Genomic DNA, 25,650 nt, shown 5'->3' with positions numbered 1-25,650 from the left:
TAATTAGTTATTGTCTCTTTTAATCCAGATCAGCCTCCTTCACCCTCCTTTTTAAATTATTAAATCATTACATGTTGTGATGAGCCTAGGCCAGTTGTCTTGTAGAATCTCTCTCATTCTGGATTTGTCAGATTTTGTTTCCCTCATGATTAGATTCAGTTTGAGCACTTTTGCAATACTACCTAAGAGATGTTGCCAACTCACGGGGACGCATAACTCAGTTATATTAGTAATGCTAAATTTGATCACTTGGTAAAGGTGGTGGCTACATCTCTTCATTCTAATAGTACATTTTCCTCTTAGGAATTGGTAAGCAATCTGTGGATTATACCTTGAGTCCATAAGAATAACCTGTTCCCCAACTCCTTGATACAGTCCTTCACTGAATCTGTTGTTACATTAGGAGTTATAAGTGATTCCGCAATAGTATCATGCCTTTTATGTTTATTAACTGGCATTCTTTCCACACCTCCATTTTAGTGTTTGCTTCACTATGGGAATCAAGGTGTTTTTAAAGTTATTGATTTAAGGTTTTTTTTTAATTCAATATAATATACTCCTTTAACATCATAATTCTTGTTGATGCTCAAATTGTCCCAAATGTGGCCAGTGGAAGCCACATTAAGCCATCTGTGTCTTTCATGTATCCCTATTAGTCCTTGAATGCTTTCTTGCTTTGATAACACAAGCTTAACTTTGTACATTTCCTACCCAACACCTGGAATTAGCCCTTGTAGTTTCCCCAAATGGTTTCAACTCCTAGAATCTAACCCATTTTATATTACTTTTTAAAATTTTTTCAAGCCCAAGTGTCAAACCTTGGTTTCCTTTTGCACTTTGTTTACCCATGTGAAGGAACTGTGGGGGAATTTTTTGGTGAACAATTATTTCTAAAGGCAAATAGCACGGTTCTCACTTAAAAAAATAGTCATAAGACTATAAATAGGCAGCACCATAAAATACAGAAGTGGCTAGAAGCTGGTAAGAGAGGAGTATGAAGTTAATGTATTCATACTCTGCCTACAGTATCTTTTTTTTTTTTTTTTTGAGACGGAGTCTGGCTCTGCCACCCAGGCTGGAGTGCAGTGGCGCAATCTCAGCTCACTGCAACCTCCATCTCCCGGGTTCAAGCAATTCTTCTGCCACAGCCTCCCGAGTAGCTGGGACTACAGGCACATGCCACCACACCCTGCTAATTTTTCTATTTTTAATAGAGATGGGGTTTCACCATATTGGCCAGGCTGGTCTCGAACTCCTGACCTTGTGATCTGCTCGCCTCAGCCTCCCAAAGTGCTGGGATTACAGACGTGAGCCACCGCGCCCAGCCCGGTATCCTTACTTTTTATTTGCATTTCCATAGTTAGCTGGTTGGTCTGGAAAAATGTGAGACTATTTCTGATGTGACATGACTCCTGATAAAAAGTTCTAGTGTATATTTCCCTGTTTGTATATGTGAACCAAATTAAAACTTAGCCCACGTCAAACATATCCTCTCTTCAGGATACAGCCCCATGTCATCTCAGAGCTTCATGACAACATTGGCACAAGCCTGGAGGGAGTAGGAAAGATTTGTCAATTGACTGTACTCTCTAGTTACTGTTTCAGCCCGAGGAACTGCTCTACACTGATGCTGCTGATCTGTTTTGATATCACTTTCCTGGAGTGGTCTCCAGACTCCTGTTCTAGGCTAGGCCTCTGTTATGGATTGGATTGAGTCCCTCAAAAATGCCTATGTTGAAGTACCAACCCACAATGTGACTGTATAAGGAGATAGAGCCCTAAGAGGTAATTAAAGTTAAATGAGGTCATAAAGGAGGGGTGGGTACTCTAATCAGATAAGACTGATAGCCACCCATGAGCCAGGTTTCACTAGAAACCAGCCCTGCCTGCATCTTGAGCTTGTACTTTTAGCTTCCAGAACTGTGAGAAAATACACTTCCGTTTAAGCCGCTCACAGTCTGTGGCATCTTGTTATGGCAGGGTGAGGTGACTAATATAGTCTCCCAGCTCTAGCATAAGGAATTTCCTTCATTTTTCCCAATACAGCATTTACCACATTTTCTTCTTCCTTTTGGATTATGAGGGCTCTTTTTCACCATGTATTTCTAGCACAGACTCCATGGCTTCTGGCACAATGCATGGCACGCGAACTCAGTATTTAATGCATAAAATTAATTTCAACTCCTCCAAATTAGGAGAGGGAGTAAGGAAGAAGAGGTGAAATAAGGAAGAAAAGAGTGCTGTGGAGGAAAAATAGCCCATGCAATGAGAATGGAGGTGACTTTCACCCTAAGTACCAAAAGCCCCCAATAATTAATCTAATCTTGATTTTTGTTCTATACAATTAGCATGTTTTCCTATTTTCTATCTGTACTATAAAATTTGTATTAATATATACTGCTGACATTTGAAAGTTGTCCCACTGATTGCTTTATCTGTTTCTGTCCCCACCCATATTGCCAATGCTTTGTTGTCGGGGGCTTGTAAATTCTACTCAGTCTTCATAGTACCTAACCCAATACTAGACATGGTGGGTATTCAGTGAAGTCATGTTAATCTAATGACAAATGTGTGAATTTCAGTAGTTTCTCTTTGATCCAAAGGAATAGGCTTATACTTCCTTGTCCTTCAACAGAGAGCCAAGAACTCTTCAGAAATCATTTTCATGGGTTCCAGGACAATTCTTTCCTCTTACGGGACAAAGTGAAACACTATCTATTTTGAGGATACCCAAAAAGCATCTTAGCAACTTCATGTTTTTTCAATGCTATGATGATGACTTTTGCCAATGCTACTTGGTACTCAATGTCCAGAATAAACTAGAACAGGTTATTGACCTCCAGGCTGGCCTCTTTACACAGGCCTTCTTTCCAAGGACTCCATCGGGTACATGACAGGCATCTGAGAAGTACCGAAAGGACTAACTTCAAAAGACCACCTTCTAGTAAGAATTCAGAACCAAATAGTTTTTTAATGGTATTTCTTCACAGGTATTTAGTAAACAAATATTTTTAGACCTATGATAAAAATATGCTAAATGTTTATACATGCTTATAAACATATTAAATTAAAACACAAACACTTCAAAAGTCTAAAAGTTTATTGCCAGAATAGCAAACTTCATAAAGACACCTTAAAGTACATCGAATATGACAAGCAAAATAAACAGAAAACTTTGACCAAAGAAAAGATTGCCGCTGTCATGCACAGTCAAATTAATACCAAACCAAACAAGTACATCGAAGAGTATATGGGTTATACAATCCACACTCTGAAACTAAAGGAGACTCATTCCAAAATGCTTGGTTTTGGGTTGGGGGTTTGAGAGGGGGGCTGGTGCTGGGAGGGTAATTTTCTCCTAATACAGAATATGGAAATATTTAGATGAGAAGCAGAATGACTAAAATATCAGTGATCCATTTAATTTTTATCTCCAAGAATAGAAAACTGTATTATAGGCTTCCAAAATTAAAGAATTGATCAAAAATCGAAACACAGAAGAGAAGAAACAAATCCTAAGTTCGATTTGTGCTATTGTTACAACTGATTAGCACTTCAGACGCACTGCATCCAAGTGTACTGCTTATTTAAGATGAGCTAAGAAGATAAAAAGCCAGAACAGCCTTTACTATTTGATTTCAATCATGGCTATATTTTCTGTAAGCATAGAATGTCCTATCACTCTACTGCAAGCACCGGGATTTTCTTTTCTATTATTTAATAAAGTGGAAATTCATATAAATGAAGTCAAGGTATAGCAACCACTCCCAACTGACTACTAGTGCCCAATAGAACTACTGCTAAATGAGTAGGAATAAGAGTAGGAAGAATTCCCTGTGGCGTCAAAGCTTCCTCTCCGGGACCCACTGCGGGACCCGGAGCGAGATCCGGAGCGAGATCCCGAGCGGGAGCCGGAGCGGGACCCCGGAGCCGAAGACATGTTGTAAGGGCTGGGTAAGCCCTTGGACGACACGGAGGCGGCTTCCAGAAGGCGCAGCCCAGTGATATCTTCTACCATGGAGCGATTTATGGCATCCTTATAGGATATTTTTAATTTGGTTTTGGGGCAGGTCAGGATTTTGGCATAGCTGCTGGTGTCTTGCAGCCTCTGTGCGGCGCGGCCATCTATGAACCCCTTCCGGATGGCTTCTTCGGTGCTTATCCTCCCATGCACTTCCGGGTCAACAAGACCTCCCGTGAGGTACTGGAACTCCAGGAAGCGCTGGCCAGCCTCATACGGGAGCCATTTTTCTTTCACTGCCTCTGCTGCTGACATCTTCTTCTTTCCCTTCACACCCTCGAAGCCTATGAAGGCTTTCTGAGCAGGCTTCAGCCTGGTGGCCATGTCTTGGTCAATCACACCCTGGGAGACTGCGTCCTGAAGTGACAGCTTCTGGCCCGTGGTTGGGTGGATGATGCCACCTGTGCAGGCCTGAGCCTCCAGAAGCCTCTGACCCGTGATGCTGTCAACGATGCCCCGCTCTATACCTTCTGTAATGGAGATTTTCTCCAGGTTTTCTGTGTCAAAGATGGCTGCAATGGGGCTCGATTCTTCCAGGGTGTCTGAAAAAGAGCTGCTCCTTATGGTTAAATTCCTGACGCTGGATATGGTGGAAATCTTACTTACTGATTCATGTCGGGAGCTGCTAAAAACATCATCGCTGACACCACTGCCCATGCTGCTGCTGGTGCCGACACCATTTTTCAAGGAGATCATGTCAGCAAATTGAGTGAGGCTGAGGCTGCCGGATCGGTACTGATCAAAGAACTTCCTGTCAACAAGGCCCTTGTCAATAGCATCTTGAATATCATACTGACTGCCTGTCTTTCTATCTACCAGGACCACCCTGGTGGAGCCATCTGATCCCGTGATGGTTATTTCTTCCCATTCACATTCCTGCTCACACAGTTCTTTGAAGGTTTCATAATCAATTAGGCCCTTCTTGTAGGCCTCCTGAACAGACATTTCTTTATTGGTTTCTGGGTCAACTATGACCACTCTACGCTTCCTGAGGGTATTCTTTTGTGATGTCTGCACCTGTTTCTTCTTTTCTTTCAGAGGCAGAAGACAGAGCCCTGTTTCCTCATCCTTAATGCATCTTTCTTTTAGTTGCAGATAGGTAAGATTTTCTTCAGTGTTGGGGTCAAAAAATCCTTTGGTATCATCACTTGGATCTGAGAGAATCTCACTGAGTTCCTCATTGAAATAGCCCCTCTTATATGCTATGTCAACTGGTAAACGATGGCTCTCCTTTGGGTCAATGATCCCCCCGGTTGCGATCTGTGCTTCTAATAAGCGAATACCGTGGCCCTTTTCGATGAGTTCCTTATTCATGGCTTGGAACAAAGAGATGATGTTTCCTGTTTCAGGATCATTATACCCAGTGACAGCTCGTTCTGCAGACAGGAGCTTCTCTTTGAACTCAATGCCCACCAGACCTCTCTTGTAGGCTTCCTCCACTGGTAACCTCAAGTTGCTAACAGGATCCACTATAAAGCCAGTAGCTGCTTGGGCTTCCAGCAACTCCAGAGCAGTACCAGGTCGGACTAAGCCAATTTTCATGGCCTCATAAATGCCAAGCTTCTGTTTTGTGGTCTCATTGTATATGCCTGCTATGCAGCTTGAACCCTGGAGGAAGTCCTTAATTCTCTCACCAACCTCGTCATAAGAAATCTGACCAGATTCCAGTTCATTGACAGTGGACGGTCTCAATATACCAGAATCTACTAGCTCAGTGACGGTCACAGGTTGTCTGATTCCTTGGAAGGACATGCTTCTCTTCTGTACTGAAAGCAAGAGCAGACCAGTATGTGGTTCGATTCTGCACCGTTCCTTCAGCTGCACGTAACTGACCTTCTTTTTGGTGACTGGATCCACAAAGTTTTTCTGACTATCTCGGGGATCATTCAGGGATCGATACAAATCTCTATCAATCAGCCCCCGGGCCAAGGCGACATCTTTTGGCAAAAAGACACTGTTCACAGGGTCTACTACACCCCCTGAAGCAATCTGGGCTTCCAGCAGGCGCATTCCGGTTTCTCTATCAATCAAATTTTTCTTGATGGCTTCTGAAACAGATACTGTCTTGCCTGAAAATGGATCATCAAAACCAGTGATAGCTTTTTCTGCTGCATATATCTGCTGACGGTCATCGAAGTCAATGAGGTCCCGAGCTATGGCACTGTCGACAGTCAGCTTCTCATTCCGATGGGGATCAATTATACCACCTGTAGCTGCCTGGGCCTCCAGAAGCATGACTGTGGATTCTGGGCTGATTAATTTCTTTCTCTTGGCCTCTACCAAAGAGTATTTTTCCTTAGGAGAAGCAGATGCTCCAGCGATAGATCCTGCACCCCGAAGGAATGGCTGGATTTCAGAAGCAACTTCTTCCACTGACTTCTTCCCCTTCAATAGTTTGTCCAAGGTTGTTTTGTCGATCAGCTGACACTCATAGAGCTGCATTGCTGTCACCTTCTTCCTCAGCCCATCAAACACCAGCTTGGAGGTGTCAACGGTCCACTCACACTCAGTCTGGGTCTCTCGATGGGACCCATATGGGCGCTGTCTGAGTTTATCAATCTCCCTCTGATATCGGGAGCGTTCTGTTTCTAACTGTGACTGTGTCTCCCTGGTAGAATCCTCCAGCTTACGCCTGCACCTCTCTTCAATTCTCTTGATCTCTGCTTGGAGTCTTTCGATCTCACTCCTAAGACTGTTCTTCTCTCTCTCACTCTTTTCTCTTTCCGATTCTATCTTCCTAATAGCCTCCTCCTTGCGGGAATATTGAGTCTTCCACTGATTCAGGTCATTCTGAATTTGCTGTTTCTCACACTCCAGGCGCTGTTTCACCCTGGTTTCTGCCTCTAGAGTTGATTTTGCACGATTCAGCTCATCCTCCAGCCTCTGCAGCCTTGCCTTGTCTTGCTCCAGGACTTTGATTTTCACCAGAAGGCTCTCTCTTTCCTGTACCACCTGAGTACACTGATTCTTTGATTCCTGAATCCTATTAGATGCCTGGAATTGAAGAAGAAAGAAATGGGAAAAAATAATGTTTTGAATCATATCATATTACTATCACGACTTAACTTTCTTTTGTGTATCTATCTTTAAAAAAAAAAGCCTTGCTTATTTTTTCTTTCTATATTGTCCCTGGATACACTGTGAGCTTGTTATTTTACAAATTTGTGGGAAAAATTCTGTATATGTTGCCACTTCAATAAATGGCTTCATACTTACTATTTTTTTCTATAGAAGGAACTGTAAGTTGCAGACCTGTCTTACTCTTAACAATAATTATGCTTTGAAAAAATGTGGGGAGTTTTGTTTCAGGTTATCATACCTGCTACACCTACATCTCACCTGTTACAGCTAGATGAACATACTTAATGAAGCAATACAAATATATGAAGATATATATTATATAAAATATATATTATAGATAAATATATATTATGTAATTATATAATTATATATATAATATATAGATATACACACACACACACACACACACACACACCAACCCAGCCACACACAAATATTGTCTGTAGAAGTTAAATAAGTTATTTTTAAATTAAGGGTTAGGAGAAGGAAAGTCAAACAAAAGGAAACACACTAGGGCCATGATCAAAAGCGAACACTAAATAATCCATGCAAAAAAATCATCTAAGCAGGCAAAAGAAAAAGTGTTTTAAAAATTGCATAGGGAAACACTTTAGTATGGCTTCTATTTAAGAAAATTTTCATTACAAATGTATGTCATAGCTCACTAAATAAGAGCTAACTTCTAAGAAGTAGAATGGAACATTCGGAGGAAGTTATACATGTATTAGTGTTCTTAAAAGCAGGGCCAAACACAGGCTACCCAGAGATCAGCATTTGATGCAATTAAAGAACAGCAGGGCACACAGCATTGAAATTATTTTAAAGCAGTTACCTGGATTATGACAGGAAGTAGTAGAGCAATAAAAAGAAAAATTAGATTTTCTATAAGCATCTATTTAAGCAGAAAGAGCACAGTTCAGATGAGATAATAATGTGATGAATAATTTGAGAAACAGTGAAGCTGTGATCAAGTATTTGTGAATACCTCTAAAGCCTGCTTTTGGAATTTCTCAATTTCCTGTCTCAAATTTTCCCTCTCTCTCTGTAAATCATTAATCAGCCCCTGCAGTTCCAGGGTCCGGTTGTTGCTGATCTGCAGCTGGCTCCTTAGTTCCAAGATGGTTGCATTTTTATCACTGTCCGCTTCGCTTCGTCCTCTCCTCAGGTCATCGTACTCCAGCCTCAGGTTCCGCAGTTCTTCTTCTAACATCAAGTGCTCCTTGGTCAGGTTCTCTGTGAGAGACTGCAGCCTCTCAATTTCTATTTTGCTTTCATTTAAGCTTCTGCTTTTATCTTCTATCGCCTTCTGGAAATGCTCATTCCTCAAGTGAGCTTGTTTGACACTTTCCTGTTCCTGGAGTAACTGCCGCCTCAGGGCCTCGACCTCAGAAGAGAGCCTCCTCAGCTCTTCCTGGGTCCTCTGCTTTTCCCTCAGGTGGCCATCCAGCACGTCCCTCTGCTGCCGGAGGTCATCCTCACTCCTCTTCTTAACAATGGATGCCTGCTCCAGCTGCTGGGTCAGGTTGGTGATTTTGATGGCTTGCTCCTTCAGCGACCTCCTCATGCCTTCCAGCTCTTCCTCCAGCTTCTTCCTCTTGCAGGAGTCTTCTGACGCGGTCCTCTTCAGCCGATTCAGCTCCTCTTCCACCTTCTGCTTCTGCAGCTGCAGCTCTTTCAGAGAGTTCTGGAACCGCGTGATATCCTGGTCCTTCACAGTCCTCTCCTGGGAAACCCTTTCATAGTCGATCCTCAGGCGTGTCAGTTCTTGCTCCTGAACCTTCAGTTTGTTTATTGTCTCCGTCGCACTACTGTTTGCTTTCTGCAGGTCATACTGGACCCTTTGTAATCTCGCGTTTTCATCTTCCAGGCATTTCCGGTCATTTGTTTCTTTGTCGATCAGTTGTTTTAACCTTTCTATCTCCTTGTTTTTATCCTGGATGGTTTTGGCAGCATCATCAAGAGATTGCTTATATCTTACGCTCTCCTCTGTTCGCATCTGAGTGACTTGTCTCAGCTCAACCTCCAGCTGCTGTTTCCTCTGAGACACCTCAGAGCCAGTGGCCTTTTGCTGTTGGATGTCTTCTTCCACCCTCCTGAGATTCTCTGTGGTCTGGGTTAGAGTGTTCTTCAGCCTCTTTATTTCTTCAGATAAGCTCCTGTTTTCTCGGGTGAGATTGTCTATCTGAGCCCGGTAGCCACTGGTATCCTCTTCCTTCTGCATGGTGAGCTGGTGGATGGTGGTCTTGGTGATGTTGATCTCGGTCTCAAACTGATTTTTTAAGCTAATGATCTCCTCATCATAATTGTTTCTTACCTTACTCAGTTCATTTTCATATTCCCAGCGGCGCTTGGCCTCCTCCTGAAACTCAGCTTTGAGTCTCTCGATCTCCTTATTTTTGTCCTGAATGGTCTTGGCAGCCTCCTCCAGGGACTGCTTGTGCCGGGCATTGTCCTCAGAGCGCTGCTGCATGACCTGCTTCAGTTCTATCTCCAGATGCTGCTTCTTCTGCATTATCTCAGAGCCACAGGCCTTTTGCTGAAGGGCGTTTTCTTCAGCTCGCCTTCGCTGCTCAGTGGCCTGCAAGATGCTGTCATTGAGCCTGACAATTTCATCCTTCAGATCTCGATTTTCCCTTGAAAGTCTATCAAGCTGGTTTCTAAGATTTTTGGAATCATCCTCTTTTTGCATGGATATCTCCTTGATGGTGGTCTTCGTAATGTTAATCTCTGTTTCATACTTGTTCCTTAAATTACTCATCTCCTCATTATAGTGGTTTCTTACCTTTGCCAGCTCATTTTCATATTCTCTCTTCCGGGTGCCTTCTTCCTGCAGTAGAACCCTCAACCTTTCAATCTCGTACTCCTTCTCCTTGATGGCTTTCTCAGACTCTAATTTCTGCCAACCAAGGTTCTCCTTTTCACATTGCCTTGCTTTCTGCAGTTGGTCATAGTCATTCTTCTGTTGGTCAAATCTGTCTTCCACAGATTTTCTTCTTCTCTTTTCATCTTCAATCTCATAAGTCAGTCGGGTGATCTTCTCATTGAGTTCTTTTATTTGGCCGTAGCACTTGTCTAGATTTTGCTTAGCCGACTTCCCATCCAGCTCAGCCTGTCTCTTCAGCTCCTCCAGGCTCGCAAGCTTCGCTTTGAACTGGGAACACTCTGCCTGGTATTTCTGCAGGTTCTGATCCAGGAATTTGTTCTTATTACAGTTTTCCGAGTTGGCATCTCGGGCCAGTCTGAGCTCCTCTTCCAAAACTTCGATCTTGGTATTTTTCAGCTGTGGAATGAAATCAGAGATTATGTCAAAAGAAAAACACCTCACATTCCAAGAAAGAAGCAGTACTTTTCCCCTCCCAGACCAATGTGCATTCTTATTTCTCTTTACACACATGGACATACATGCAAAGAGTGACTAGGCAAATATTCAAGAAATCTGGATTCTCATCATAATTCTTGCACCAGCTGCTCATATGCTCTTAGCAAATGATATATTATCTTTGAGTCTGAGCTACCTCATCTGTAAAATGAGGTAATTTCTTTCAAAATCAAAAGCTTATGATTTCATAAATTATATTCCCTTTATTTCAAGTTTACATTAAAATAAGTTTACATATAATCTCAATTTAAGTATCATAAATGAGGAATAAAGGGAACAATCACTGAATATAAAAAATTCAAATATACCTAGTCCAAGATGTTATCTTTAACACAGAGAAATAAAGCAAATTCCTTAACCAAACATTAAATCAAGTGACTTTTGTTTGGCAAAGTTGTTGCAATATTATGACTATTACTTAAGTTCATTTAAAGCAGCGTATTGGAGCATGGAAGTAACCCCAGACTTACAAACAAGCAGTATTACACTAAACCTTTAGAGGAAATACAGTTTCACCAGGATGTGTCCAAATCCATGTTATAATGTGGAAGTAATAATAAGGTTCTATTCTATTTTCTTTTTTGACGCTACAAGAAAAGACAGTATAAATTACCTTCAGATCTTCCAAACTCTTCAGCATCTCACTTAAGAACCTGTAATAGTCTCCAGATCTTGTAAGTAGTTCAATGTACCGAGCATGAACATCTGCAGCCTTGGAGAAAAGGAAGGAAAGAAAGAAAAAGATATTGCATTAAAAAAAAAGTCCTATGTAATTTGACCGATTTTGTTTTCTAAAATAGTGAAATTATAAAGAGTGAATTCTCTTCTTTAGTGTGTTCATTCCAAAATCAGCAAAAGAAAGTACAGCAAAACAAAGGGCCAAAAATGTATCCCATTCTCATCTCTCCAGGCTGTTTCCCCTAAACCATCTGACAGGTACGATAGTCTCTGACATCTTTGAGAAGAGGCTGTCTTTTAGAAATTTCTGTATTTTCCACTTTTTAGAAGTCTCTCTCATCAAACCCAGAAATTTAAGCCCAATTTCTACAAAGACTCTAAATAACACATTCCTGATCATTTCTGAAAATGTATCATACATCAATGACTCACACTGGAGGGCACATAACCTGCTATTAAACCTCTTAAAGTGGTACCCTGTAATGGGATGAAATCAGCAATGGTAAGGAAGACAGGCAGGAGACAGGGAAAAGGGAAGAGGCAGGAGACAGGGAAAAGGGAAGAAGCAGAAGGAGGGGCAGGTTTTAAGAGATATGTGATGACATATATACCTCTTGCAGAATCACCCCAGAAGGGGACTGAATCATGGTCCTCTTGATAGGTATGTTCAGCAGAGTTTCCAGTCCTGAGGTGTATGAGGCCAGCTGGAGCTCATAATCCTGCAGCATAATGAAGTTTAAGAAAAGTGTCCTTCATAGACTTAAAAAGCATCACTAACAGCTACAGTTCCACAGTTTTAAATCATTGGGCTGCACGTCTAATTGCCCACTCCAAAGACTTTGCGCCACTAGTGGCCAAGCAACTAATACTACATTAGCGTGGTGGCTCACACCCATAATCCTGGCACTTTGGGAGGCCGAGCCGGGCAGATCCCCTGAGATCGGGAGTTCAAAACCAGCCTGACCAACACGGAGAAACCCTGTCTCTACTAAAAATATAAAATTAGCCGGGCATGGTGGTGCATGCCTGTAATCCCAGCTACTCAGGAAGCTGAGGCGGGAGAATCACTTGAACCCAGGAGGCAGAGGTTGCGGTGAGCCGAGATCACACCACTGCACTCCAGCCTGGGCAGCAAGAGCGAAACTCTCTCCAAACAAACAAACAAACAAACAAACACCATTATTAAACCAAGCAGTACATCTTTGTATGCTAAATGGAGAATGCAGCACCTACCACCAGTCAAAGAATAGAAACCAGCCATTCAAATGGATACTGCCAATGTGGAATGAATTCAAGCTAATAGATTTTTAATTTTTATGGTTTGTTCAGAAAAGAATATATACAGACCGTAATTGCTATCCTCAGGAAGTGTATACGCTTTACAACAAATCAGCAAGTCATGCAGTTAATAATAATCTTGGTGAAATACCAACATTCTTTATGAAACCAACATACCTTAATTGAATTGGCGCAAAGTTCAGCAATTTTTTGTACTTCCTCTGATTTGTCTCGTTTGCCAGATATTTCACTGTGCAAGTTCTATACAAAAAGTGAAATATTTACCAATGTTAATGCATACAAATATTTTTAAATAAATGTGATTTCACTCTTTTACCACTGTTATTTGTACCCTTTTTTCAGTTTATTACTACATGTACTTGTCTCATATTTTTATAGTTACAGCTTAGGAGATGAGCATTTTTTCCATTCAGAGAAGAGAAGCAAGCCCTTTAACTTACTATCTGTAAGAGGTTACTTTCTAGTCAGCCTGTTTTCTGGGCCTATCCCCTCAATTTATAAAGATAATTTATGATAACATGAAGAGAACAATATCACGTTATTTCTATGTTCATAATTTGCATTTCCTTGTAAACATCTCAGTTGCTTTTCCTCTGGGCATTCTTTAAGCCTTCACAAAATGGGTTAGTAATATTAAATATTCATCATTTCAAACCTAGGCACTGATACAAAAACCAGAGGAAAACATGAATTACACCCAATTAATCTCAAAACAGCTATGGAACAAAAAGTTGGCTTATACCTTCTGCTCATTCAAAAACCGCATGACTGTGTTGGAATCTCCAAATTTCATGGATTCTAAGGAATCCTGGCGGCGTTTAGCATCATAGAGCCACTTGCAGAAAGCCTGATAGTTATCACGATAATTCCTCAATTGCTTGATTTGTTTCTCCAGGTCCCATAACCTGGGGGGAAATAGATACAATAAAATCATTATCTTATTAGTTCCTAAAATATGTAACATAGAATCACCCAGAAATTCACTTGATATATACCCAAGAAAACTGATCATATTCCCACATAAAAACTTATACATGAATGTTCATAGCAGCACTTTTTATCACAGCCAAAAACTGGAAACAACTCAGGTATCAACTGATGAAAAGATCAACAAAATGTGGCACTGCCAAACAATGGAATATTATTCAATCATAAAAACACATGAAAAAAATAGAAAATGATGTACTGAAACATGATACAACACAGATGAACTCTGAAAGCACGATACTAAGTGAAAGAAGCCAGTCACAATGGACTACATATTGTATGATTCCAGTCATATAAAATTTCCAGAATAGGCAGATTCATATTCCAGAGATTTTTTAAACTCTTATTTGCAGAAAGGCATTTTTTTTGGTCTAAGATTTAATTTTCATAAACTTTTGGAGAATGCTAACTCAAGGCAGCTACTCCTTCCAAGAGTCATAACAAGAGTTTATAGGACACAAAAGAGCTGGCTAAAGGGCTTCTGCCGTTTCTCTAAGACCCTGGATGGCACCTGGCCTGCACAGGGTTGGCTATCGTGATGCATTCTCCTTCCATTTCTAACAAAGCTGCATACAGGCAGTCCATGAAAAGAGCATCTGTTACGCCTAACTTACACAAAAAACAAAACCTCTGTTTTCTTCAGTGGTTCCCTTCAAGTGACATTATCTTGTGAACAACCAAAAGGGGAGAAGATGGGGAAGGAGCGGGAGGAGGCTGGCATACCTAAAGTCGATCTGTTTATCTATCCTTTGCCAGCGGTCTGTCAGCTGTGTGACTTTTTCACCGAACTTGCCCAAGTCCAGATCATAAAGTGGATACTGCTGTGAAGTCTGAGAGTGGATCTGCTGGGCTTTCTGTAGTTCTGTCTTCATAGTGGCCAACAACGACTTCTTCAAGTTCAAGTCATTTTTTATTTTCTGCAAGATGAAAAAAAAAAAGATTGCAAATTAATCCCTTCTCCCATTGTATGCTACACTACAAGTCACCAAATTGGGCGGCAAAGTTTATAAAACACTTTAGAATATTCATAATTTAAAGTGTTAACAGTCAATCCAGGGAAATATATTTACTGAATTGCATTTCCCAGTATTTGTTCCAATAATCTTGTTCTTTGTGCTATCCTGTTATAATAATAATATGAACATATTAAAGTTTCTAAGAAGTCCCACAGTAAAGAAACCAGTTTAACTCAGCATTCCCCAAACTAATCCCATCACGAATTACTTTCTTATATAGTTCCTGCTAACACAGTCTGGAAAACAGAGTTACAGAGATGACAACTGATGTCAACCTGTGTGGCCACTGAAACCCAATAATCCTCAAAACTCATGAAAACCCAGTGAGGCTTTATAATTGGGAGCTCAGATCTGAATTAGTTCCTGTAAGTTGGGCCACTGTTATAAGCTTTCAAGTTACCTTCAGTCCACAGCGGTAAGCTTCCACTTTATCCAGGTCCAGGCAGACAGTTTCCTCCTCAGTGAGCCTGGCTTCATAAACCTTTAACATGTCTTCTGTTTGGAGAATAGCCTGGAGCAGTGCCCTTACTGTGCATAAGCTGGAAAGAGCAAAAGAAGCACATAAAATTGCCAGTGACATAATTAGTCTGTGAAGATTTGCCTCTCACAGCTAGTAATGAAAGGGAACAACGTCAAAGCAGATAAAAATTTATTTTGTCTGTTTTTTGGTCTATTGTGATTCAGACCAACATTTTGTATTCGCTGAAGAATTCTCAAGTTCTGGCCCTTAGAGCATAACTTAGTTCTAAGATAACATTATAGTTCAGAATAGTGGAATTAACATGCGAGGCTAGCGGAATTAACATGCTCTCCAAACCACAGAAGGATGTAAGTAAATCTCTAGTAACAGAGAAACTGTAAGGCAAGCATCTAAAGCAAATGAAGACCCAGAAAAAGAAGCTTGAGAAAAGGAAAATATGAGATTAGTGTTAGCTGAGTTTACCTATTTAAGTAGCCATCTGTAACACCATTGATATTTTCCAGTTTCTGAAATAGTCCAAATACTTCATTCTGTAAATAGCAGTACTTTTCAGAACCTCTGAAGTTGGCAAGCATATCTTTAAGCTGGTTGAGAACCTCAGCAATTGCTTGTGAATCATTCTGCACACTCTGTCAAAAATGAAGGAAAGCTCTTTTGATTTAGCTGATTCTTTTTATTACTGTATATATTTAAGGTGTACAATATGCTGTTTTAATACACATAGACACAGTGAAATGATTACATCAGGTAAGTAAATTAACACATCAGTCAACTTCCATGGTTATCTTTTTTTGTATGTGTGGTAAGAGCACCTAAAATCTACTCTCAGCAAAATTTCAATATACACTACAAGATTACTACCTGTAGTCTTGCGCTGAATTTAGATCTCTAGATTTATTCATCCCACACAAATGCAAGTTTGTATCCTTTACATCTTCCCATTTCCTCCTCCCTCCCCACCCCGGTAATCACCATCCTACTCTCTGTTTCCCTGCATTCAACTTTTTTCTTAGAATTTACACATAAGTGAAATCAAGCAGTATTTGTGTCTGGTGTATTTCACTTAGCATAATGTCCCCCACATTCATCCATGCTTTTGCAAATGGCAGGATCTCTTTCTTTCTTTTTTTTTTTTTTGAGACAGAGTCTCGCTCTGTCGCCCAGGCTGGAGTGCAATGGCGTGATCTCAGCTCACTGCAACCTCCATCTCCTGGGTTCAAGCGATTCTCCTGCCTCAGCCTCCTGAGTAGCTGAGATTACAGGCGCACGCCACCACACCCAGCTAATTTTTGTACTTTTTAGTAGAGATGGGGTTTCACCATGTTGGTCATGCTGGTCTTGAACTCCTGACCTTGTGATCCACCCGCCTCGGCCTCCCAAAGTGCTGGGATTACAGGCGTGAGCCACCGCACCTGGCCCCAGGATCTCTTTCTTTTTTAAAGGTAAATAGTACCCCACTGTGTGTGTGTATAGTCATGTGTCTACTAATGATGTTTTGGTCAATGATGAACTGTATACACAATGGTGGTCCCTTAAGATATATACACACACACATATGTACATACATACATATAAACACACACACACACACACACATTTTTTTTTAAAGAGAAGGGTCTTGCTCTGTTGCCCAGACTGGAGTACAGTGGTACAATCATAGCTCCCTGCAGCCTCCAACTCCTGAGCTCAAGCAAGTAGCTGGGATTACAGGCATGTGCCCCTGCATCCAGCCCCCGTAAGATTATAATACTGTATTTTTATTGTATCTTTTCGACGTTTAGATATATTTAGATACACACTTACCATTGTGTCACAATTGCCTACAGTATTTAGGACAGTCACATGCCCTACAGGTTTGTAGCCTAGGTGTATAGTAGGCTATACCATCTAGGTTTGTGTAAGTATGCTCTATGGCGCTTGCATGACAAAATCGCCTAACCATGCATTTCTTAGAATGTGCCCCGGTCATTAAGCAACACAACTACATTCCAATTTTGGCATACTGATCACACAGAGGTTAGTACTCTGCATTGTAGCTGTGTGAATCTTATGATCATTTTTGCCCTTAAAAAGTCCACTAAAAGTAAAGGATTCAAGGAAGAGAGAGGAGTTGACCTTCTATTTCTTTCTTGAGTATGGCCTCATTAGCACTGTAAATGTGATCCTCTTAGAATATCTCTATTTAGGCCTTCCAGTGCAGTGTGCCCAGGCTTGGTTGAGCAGAAAACATCACTGAGTTAGGAGCTGACACACCTGGGCCATAGTCACACTCTGTCTATGGCTTTGAGATCGTATCTCACCAACCAAATCTCTTCATGTCAGTGTCATGTCTACAAATAAAGATCATTCCCCCTGTCTAACCCATATCATAGGTTGTTCTCTGCAAGAAGCCAAATTAATGGTTGTGAAAACTTTTGAGATGGACGGTAGCCTGATTCAACAACACACAAACGAACAGTTTAACCCCCAGCCTGATAACCGTCTACAAATTTGGAAACATAATACATAAGGAAATCCTGCCAGAAGCCTGTTTTCTTGAAAGTTAATATTTTTGCCTACAAACATTTAAACCAGGATTTTTTTTATTCATTTACAGGTAAATAAAAATATACAGGGTAACCAGGCAAAATACTAGCAGATACCTACCTTAAGCTCGTTAATTTTCACTGTGATGTGGTGAGAAGATCCCTGGTCTGCTAGAGGGAGGTTTTTGAGAGTCATCCTGCCCTCGCAGTGCTCTATCTGCCTGCGAATCTTCTGCAGCTCCATCAGCATCCATGTTTCTTGCTTGTCATTTTCTCTGTTGGTTTCAATTACTTTATTATGGTTGACATCTTGGCAGGTTCCATGATGAGTGATTTCAGTTGTGGTCACTGTAAAAAGAAGTTAGGGCCACAAAAATCAGAGAATACCTAGGTATCAAGGTGCTAGGCCTCAAAAAACATCCATACTACCTAAAAGTATACCTTCTTCCTTTGAATTTCAGAATCAATTCTGAAAATTTAGTGCACGAAGAACACTGGCTATATAGCATTCAGAGAAATGGTTCTGAAACCAGTTTTATGCAAACTCCCTTCTTTTTAAAATGGTATGGATGGTTGATACAAAGAGAAAGATGTCCCAAGCCGACCTGTCTGGTGCTGGGGATAGCCAGGGAGCTGAATGACCAGGGTCTGGTAATGCTTCTGGGCATCGGTGAACTGAGACTGTATTTTCCGCTTGTCATCATCTCCAAACATCTCTGAGCCTTGGCTATTTCTGATGAACTCTTGGTAATGTAACTCAAGGTCGGCTATCGTCTTCATGTAATCTTCCTGCCGCATTGTTTTCAGCTGAAAGGAGACAGGCAGAAGTGATTTGGGATTTATGACTGCCCCACAATGCAATCAAGAAGAGTTGGCCAAAAAATGCCACCCACTAGATGGGACTCAAAGCAACACTCATCACAGGCTCATTAAGATATAAAAGGTCTTTTAGGTTTTAGACATTGTTCCCAAGAGCCACAGGAATGGGTTGCTAATTTTTTTTTTTTTTTTTTGCCTACAGAATATTTTTCTTCAACGAAATATTATTCAGAAGCCCTAAATGTAAAGCAGAGCCCAGCAAAGCTGCTCCAACTACAAAGAGAAAAAGGGCTCGGGGGACCCCAAAAGGTACTTTCTGTGCCCCTCTCCTCACTTCCATCCCTGTCACTCCTAAAGGATCTCCCTCTCCTGCTAGGATTCTTCAGACCATGATCTGAAAACAACTGATTTAGAGTAAGTAATGCTTTGGGTGCTCTTCCAAGAATTCTATCCCACCTTTTACTTTTGTGATACCCAGTTAATCCTTTATGACCTAACTTTCCATTACATCAAAGGAGCATAGGGTCCAGAATCTTACAGGAGTGCATGACTTTTCCACAGGCACTTCTGGCTTGCTTGTCAGGCCACCTGAATTAGTATTGCTTCTTTCTCTCATAATCAGCCATATGCTAATCCCTCCTGTTCTCTATTGGACAGACCAGAACCTCTAAGGAGGGCTGAGCTGACTTGCTTGACGAGACACAAAAGCACTGCTACACAGCAAGAAGGTTGAACTGTTGGACACAGGCACTGCGGGGGGCAGCGCTGCCCTCCCTCCAGGCAGCCTAAGTGGCCCTGAGGACATACCTTGGCGATTGTCATGGCCCTGATCTTCTCTATGTCAATCATGCAGTAGTGCCAGGACACCAGGCTCTTCATGTTGATGTAGAGCTGGTTCCACAGAGCCAAGATGGCTTCGTAGTACTGCTCAATCCTAAGAGGCACAAAGGGAAAACATGCTAGAGCCAGGCTTTCACACTTCATCCCAAATGGGAAACCTGGACACGCTCACACCACTGCACAAAAACCTACAACAGTCACTGATAAAGTAACAGGTAGAGGTATAACTTTGAAAACAGTTCATGGATTTGGATTCATTTACTCCCCAAAAGTACATTCTGAATTATCTACATTATTGGCTGACATATATACTACAACTTTTTGTTGTTGTCTTGTTTTTCGGCAACTTTGTAATTGACAGAGGTCTAAGGCAGGATGGCAGGTGCATTAGATGCCAATGACCCAAAGCTTGGTCATGAGCACACAGCAGCTTACTACACTACTCTCCCTATTCAGTGTGTGGTTGAAGATTTCGATACTAAATGGTTTAAAGGAATCTGCCATGGACAACCTGTTAAACGAATGTTCTTCCTACAATGAGTGAATATTGATATTAAAGGCATTTTATATTTGTAGCTACATGTATAACAACTGATTTTCTAAGAAAAGGAGAACCTTAAAATGATGCCTTTGAAGTGCATGACAAGTATTATTCACTCTGGCCCCACTACAGTCAGACATTCCTTTTTTTTTTTTGAGATGGAGTTTTGCTCTCGTTGCCCAGGCTGGAGTGCAGTGGCACGATCTCAGCTCACTGCAACCTCCCCCTCCCAGGTTCAAGCAATTCTCCTGCCTCAACCTCCCGAGTAGCTGGGATTACAGGCATGTACCACCACACCTGGCTAATTTTATATTTTTAGTAGAGACAGAGTTTCTCCATGTTGGTCAGGCTGGTCTCAAACTCCTAACCTCAGGTGATCCGCCCACCTCGGTCTCCCCAAGTGCTGGGATTACAGGCATAAGCCACCACACCCGGCCAGATATTCCCTTTTATTCTTCAATAACGACTGTCTATTCAACATAAAATTGCAAGACAAAGTGAAGGTGACCTTCACAAGGTTCCTTTTTTTAGAAGGTGTTTATTATGGCAAGGCATCGTGTGTCTAAGCTTCAGGTATAAACACCTGCCCTCTTCCTCTGCCCTCACATTCATGCGTGCATGCGTGGCTTTGGGAACTTGGATGACTTACTTGCAAGAGAGGTCCACGGCCAGTGGGTTCGGAGGAGGGATGATCAGCCCCACAGAGGGAACAAGCATGTCAACGCCTCCCGGGCCCGTCACGTACCACTTGCTGCGCTCGTTGTTGTCCTTCAGGATACACTCATCCCCCTTATGCACGATTTTCTGTAAGGCAAGCAACCCCAGGGTTTGGCTTTATTCATAAGTATGTGTTTTTATTTTTTTTCTCAATGATGGAAACAGAGATGAACACATGCGAATTATTAAAGCTTTTACGTTTTTCCCCTCAAATGAAGCTGATCATCATACAACCCAACAATACCGATGCTTTAAATAATACATGTGAGCCTAAAAGGTATACATGAAGTGAGCTACATTTTATTTATTTATTTGGTCTCACTGTGTCACCCATAGTGAGAGACATTCACTTTATATGCAACATAAAAGCATCATTTCTCATTTCTTTTATCAGAAATTTAAAGATGAGAGTGATCACAGACAACTTTGACATACTAGAAGAAAAGTATTAAGCCTTGCGAATTTTTAAAAGTTCTAAAAATAACTACTGTCCTTGTTATTGACAACTACCATATGATTCAGAACAGAGCTGCTGCTTTTGTTCCATAGCTGCTGATTTCATAGATCAAAGACATTGACTGTGGTGATTATTGAACTCTAGATTAAATGTTGCTTTCTTGATGGACAAAAATTTGTGTGTAAAGACAGGGAAAACTTTTGTATCATTCTAAATGAGTACACACCTGATCTTGTTTGTAGTCACAGAGAGCTCTGAGAATAATGGGTTTATTGCTTCTGTAGTCTGGGTTACGAGGCTTCAGCTGTACAATCTTCTTAGACTTGTTTACCAAGTTCTGCACCTGACGCTTGTATTCAAGGATTTTCTCTCGTTCTTTCTGCAATGGTGAATAAAATCATACTTAAACATAGATACCCTGTGAGTTTTAGAGGAGATTTTCAACCTGCATTAATGTAGCTACATGACACACTGAGTATCACTGCAGTTGCATCAATTGTAAAAAATCACAAATTCGTCGGCAGGAAACATGAGAACCTTTCATGACAACACTCTCCAGAAGCTATGCAGGCAGGAATTAAGTGGGCAGGGAAGAACATCCTTGTGTGAAAGGGCTATGCTGATAAAATTTGAAGTATGCGTTCCCAAAGGAATTGTCATGTGAAGTAATGTTCTCTCTGTTCTTATTTTCAACCAATTGCCCAGACTGAAGCAAAAGTAACTGTCAAGAGTAGTTGGGCATGTAAAGAAGTTAATTTTGAGAAAAGCCACTGGAAGCTGAAGAAAATGCTTGCTTGGCTCTGGGCGTGCATTGTACAATAATACTAATCAGAGCCAACTGCATCCAAGGCATGTGTTTTATCTCCCTGATCAGGCACAGCTGCTGAGGTTCTGGGTCTGAGACGATACCTCCAGCTCCTTGATCTGTTCCAGCAGGTGCTGCAGGGGCATGTTCTTGTCGCAGGGGTACTTCTTCCTGATGGAGTCCTGGAGCCCCTTCAGGTATGCTTCAGTAGACTGCGCCTCTTCAAAAAACTGTGAAGGATGAGAGTGATCAGTGAATGAACAGCAACTCAATGAGCAATTTCATCTAGTAGTTCTGTTTCAAGGATTGTCATCCCTAAACATCTCTTTGACAGGTGGCTAAAGGAAAAAATTCGTGCAGAAAGTATTTAGGTATGTGGCAGCGGGAAACTATTTGTAGGACTGATGGCAAGGTTGCAAATCTATGCTACTCTGCACTCAAAATCAATGAAGAGGATTTATGCAACATTTTGAAGATTATTTTCAGTGCTTTATAAAACACACTCAAAAGATTAGGTATTAAGACCTAAATAACAACAAAATTATCACTAAATATAAAAACCTGAAAGTAGGCAGCATTTTCTTTCAGATGAACATCAATGCACTTGGTGATCTGAAGAATCCAACTCCACTGCGTCTGCAGAGTGTCCATATAGGCCTGAAACAAGAAAATGTCAGCTGTCTTAGCCTAGCTCAGTTGTACAGATGCATGAACACCAAGAGATAGGTGAGCCTGCATGAAAGCTAGTAAGCAGTTTTTATCTCATTCTAAGTCAAGCAGATATTTTTCTAAAAGTTGGAAAGAGAATTTCTCACCATATATCTCTTGGTATGGTCAAAACTAAATTTTAAAATCAGCTTTCACAAATAGACACCATGAGGAGTCTTAGTCAAAATATGTATCACCCAAATAGCAGAGATACTGACCAATCAGAACTGTCACTGGGGCTAGCACTGGAGTGGCATCCCTTTGCCACACCGAGCCCTGTTCCTGGAGGATTGCTGAATCATGGGGAGGTTCGAGGCATCCAAGCAAAGGGCTTAGGGGGCTCAAGACAGTGATTCTTACCAACTGATATGGAACTTTCTGTGTTTTTTAACAAGCAGTATGGCCATACCAGTGGTACCAGCTAATGTCAGCCTTGAGCGTGGCCCAAAGATGGCAGTCTAGGGCAGCGGTCACCAAACTATAGCTCAAGGGCCACATGTGGCCCACTTCTATTTGTAAATAAAGTTTTATTGGAATACAGGCACACTCATTCATTTACACAGTGTCTATGCCTCCTTCTGCACTATAATAGCAGGGTTAAGTAATTGTAACAGAGACCAAATGGCCTGAAAGTCTAAAATACTGATTGTCTGGTCCTTTCCTGAAAAGAGTTTGCCAACCCCTGGTGTAGGGTATTGATCCCAAAATAGAAAATAAAGTTGGCACGGCTTTAAGTCATATAAGAATTACTCATTTGGTTAGTCTTACTTTATGAAAAGTTTTTTTTTTTCTAACAAAAATATAAACCTCATGAAGCCTACCTCAATTTTGTCTGAAGCTGGATGCTGATTGAGGACAAGTTGGTCACTTTCTTGTTTCAGCTTATTGAGCTCTTTTTCTTTAACTTCCAGTTGACTCATGCGTATCTGTGAATGAAGAAATAAGAAATCCTTTGCAGCAAGTCATCATTAAACTTCCATCACCCCCACAGTACTTTTTAAAAGTGAAATACAAAACTGCATTTTGGAAATGAACAATGCCAAAGAATCACGCTGTTTTCCTCAAGAATCACAGCATTTTTAAGGCTGAAAAGGATGTTTGCTACAGGAGAGGATGTGGCAGAGGCTTACTCAAGATGACACAGGAGGAAAGAAGAGCTACATCCATCCTGAGGTTTTCTAATCCCAGGCTTCCACCCACCCTCCTGCAGTGCCACACACATCCTGGGTTATCTGAACGTACCAGTTCTTATCCTCTCTAAACAAACTACGGTCTTCTGGGATATTAAACAAGGTATTGCCCCTCTTTTTCTTTTTAACTTTTATTTTAAGTTCAGGGATACATGTGCAGGTTTGTTACACAGGTAAACTTGTATCACAGGGATTTGTTGTACAGGTTATTTCATCACCCACGATTAAGCCTAGTACCCATTAGTTATCTTGCCTGATCCTCTCCCTCCTTCCACCTCCACCCTCTGCCCTCCGAAAGGCCCCAGTGTGTGTTGTTGCCCTCGATGTATCCATGTATTCTCATCATTTAGTTCCCACTCCTAAGTGAGAACATGTGGTATTTGGTTTTCTGTTCCCGCATAAGTTTGCTAAGGATAATGGCCTCCACACGGAGAAGTTTTCAGGAAGGAAGGATTTTTCACGACCATTTCAAAGAAGGCTGAATTGCAAGTGGCTGATTAAATTATTAATAGACCAATCATTCCCCGAGACCCCAGCTCTTCAAGGCAACAGGCTCAAGACAAGCATCTACAGCCGCGTGGGGTGAACTTACGGAGAAGGCCTCCTGTTTCTGAGCGATGTTGGTGTTCTTGTCGCTCCAGTCGTACAGCAGCTCCTCCTCCTCGCAGTCATTGATCCACATGATCTCCCTGGACGTGGCCTGAATGATGTTCTGCAGCTGTCGCAGGTGATCCATCCTCTCAAAGGACGCTTTCTGCACAGGAGGTTCAAAGGCAGCATTAAAATAACAATATGCAGTGACTGGTGTTCTCTGCAGGTTTAAAGATTAAACCTGTGGTCCCTTTAAAAAAAAAATCACACGGATAGGAAAAATGTTAACCTTGTGCATTCACTGACCACCTGGTATGGGAAAAGACCCATCCAAATCTGCAATGAACAAGAAGGCAGCAACTTTTTTTTTTTTGAGACGGACTGTCGCTCTCGTCTCCCAGGCTGGAGTGCAGTGGCATGAGCGATCTCGGTTCACTGCAACCTCCCCCTCCCGGGTTTAAGCGATTCTCCTGCCTCAGCTTCCCGAGTAGGTGGGATTACAGACATGCACCACCACGTCCTGCTAATTTTTGTATTTTTAGTAGAGACGGGGTTTCACCAGTTGGCCAGGCTGGTCTCGAACTCCCAACCTCAGATGATCCGCCCACCTCGGCCCCCCAAAGTGCTGGAATTATGGGCGTGAGCCACCACACCTGGCCTTAAATTTTTTTTATTCTTCTAAATAAGGTCTTTTTTTGGTATTTTTTACTGATATAGTTGTACATATTTGGGGGTACACATGATATCTGGACACATGTATACAATGTATAATGATCAAATCAGGATAAGTGGGATATCCATCACCTCGAACATTTATCTTTTCTGTGTGTTGGGAACATTACAAATATTTTCTTCAAGCTATTTTGAAATATACAATAAATTATCATTAACTATAATATCCCTATTGTACTATCAAATATTAGAACTTACTCCTTCTATCTAACTGTATTTTTGTACCCATCAATAATTAGTTTTGGACTATAAGGGGGAAAATGGACTGTTAGAGAAATCAAGCTTTTCCTACCTTCTCCCCAAAAATTCAAAGTGCCATAAGTCACACCCCAGCCCAATAGGAAAATCACTGTGTCACCACGAGTGACATTATTTAAAAAGTATCATTGCCAACAAGGAAACATTAAAAAGTAAAGATATGATGACACAAATAGGCAAAAGAATGGAAATCTCTCCTCTTATGAATCAAGTAACTGATATGACTGAGTGTCATAAAATTGTGATGACGATCTGGTAGACCTCTATCTTGAGAAAAATAACTTTTATTTTTGCTTACACTTCGTAAAAAAGACCACAATTCACAAGTGGCAACGTTTTCTTGCTTCAACTGCAAGTACTTAACAAGTGCCATTTATGTGACACAACTTGAAAACAGAACAGCAGTAGGGACTGACTTCTGAAAACAACTTTTAGGCCGGGCGCAGTGGCTCACGCCTGTAATCCCAGCACTTTGGAAGGCCAAGGCGGGCGGATCACTTGAGGTCAGGAGTTTGAGACCACCCT

General features: G+C 41.3%; 1 protein-coding gene across 4 annotated transcripts in view; it reads right to left on the bottom strand.

The window, feature by feature from the left end:
• DSP (desmoplakin) overlaps positions 2,943-25,650 on the bottom strand; it is a 45,044-nt gene continuing 22,336 nt past the window's right edge. The window contains exons 7-24 of one of the 4 annotated variants that reach the window (NM_004415.4): positions 24,137-24,298; positions 23,176-23,280; positions 22,208-22,303; positions 21,751-21,876; positions 21,068-21,220; positions 20,317-20,471; positions 19,094-19,220; positions 18,073-18,274; positions 17,589-17,815; positions 15,405-15,571; positions 14,862-15,000; positions 14,169-14,362; positions 13,201-13,363; positions 12,615-12,698; positions 11,771-11,878; positions 11,095-11,193; positions 8,088-10,382; positions 2,943-7,015 (exon numbers count right to left, since the gene is read on the bottom strand). In NM_004415.4, coding sequence (NP_004406.2) covers positions 3,779-7,015; positions 8,088-10,382; positions 11,095-11,193; positions 11,771-11,878; positions 12,615-12,698; positions 13,201-13,363; positions 14,169-14,362; positions 14,862-15,000; positions 15,405-15,571; positions 17,589-17,815; positions 18,073-18,274; positions 19,094-19,220; positions 20,317-20,471; positions 21,068-21,220; positions 21,751-21,876; positions 22,208-22,303; positions 23,176-23,280; positions 24,137-24,298 — 7,839 coding nt within the window. In that variant the 3' untranslated portion in view covers positions 2,943-3,778. Of the gene's footprint in view, positions 7,016-8,087; positions 10,383-11,094; positions 11,194-11,770; positions 11,879-12,614; positions 12,699-13,200; positions 13,364-14,168; positions 14,363-14,861; positions 15,001-15,404; positions 15,572-17,588; positions 17,816-18,072; positions 18,275-19,093; positions 19,221-20,316; positions 20,472-20,664; positions 21,221-21,750; positions 21,877-22,207; positions 22,304-23,175; positions 23,281-24,136; positions 24,299-25,650 lie in introns of those variants that run through there. The other 3 variants (NM_001319034.2, NM_001008844.3, NM_001406591.1) reach the window with 3 other exon arrangements.

Source organism: Homo sapiens, chromosome 6 (assembly GCF_000001405.40).
Source record: "Homo sapiens chromosome 6, GRCh38.p14 Primary Assembly".
Taxonomy (NCBI): domain Eukaryota; kingdom Metazoa; phylum Chordata; class Mammalia; order Primates; family Hominidae; genus Homo; species Homo sapiens.
This window is presented reverse-complemented; position numbering and strand designations above follow the sequence as displayed.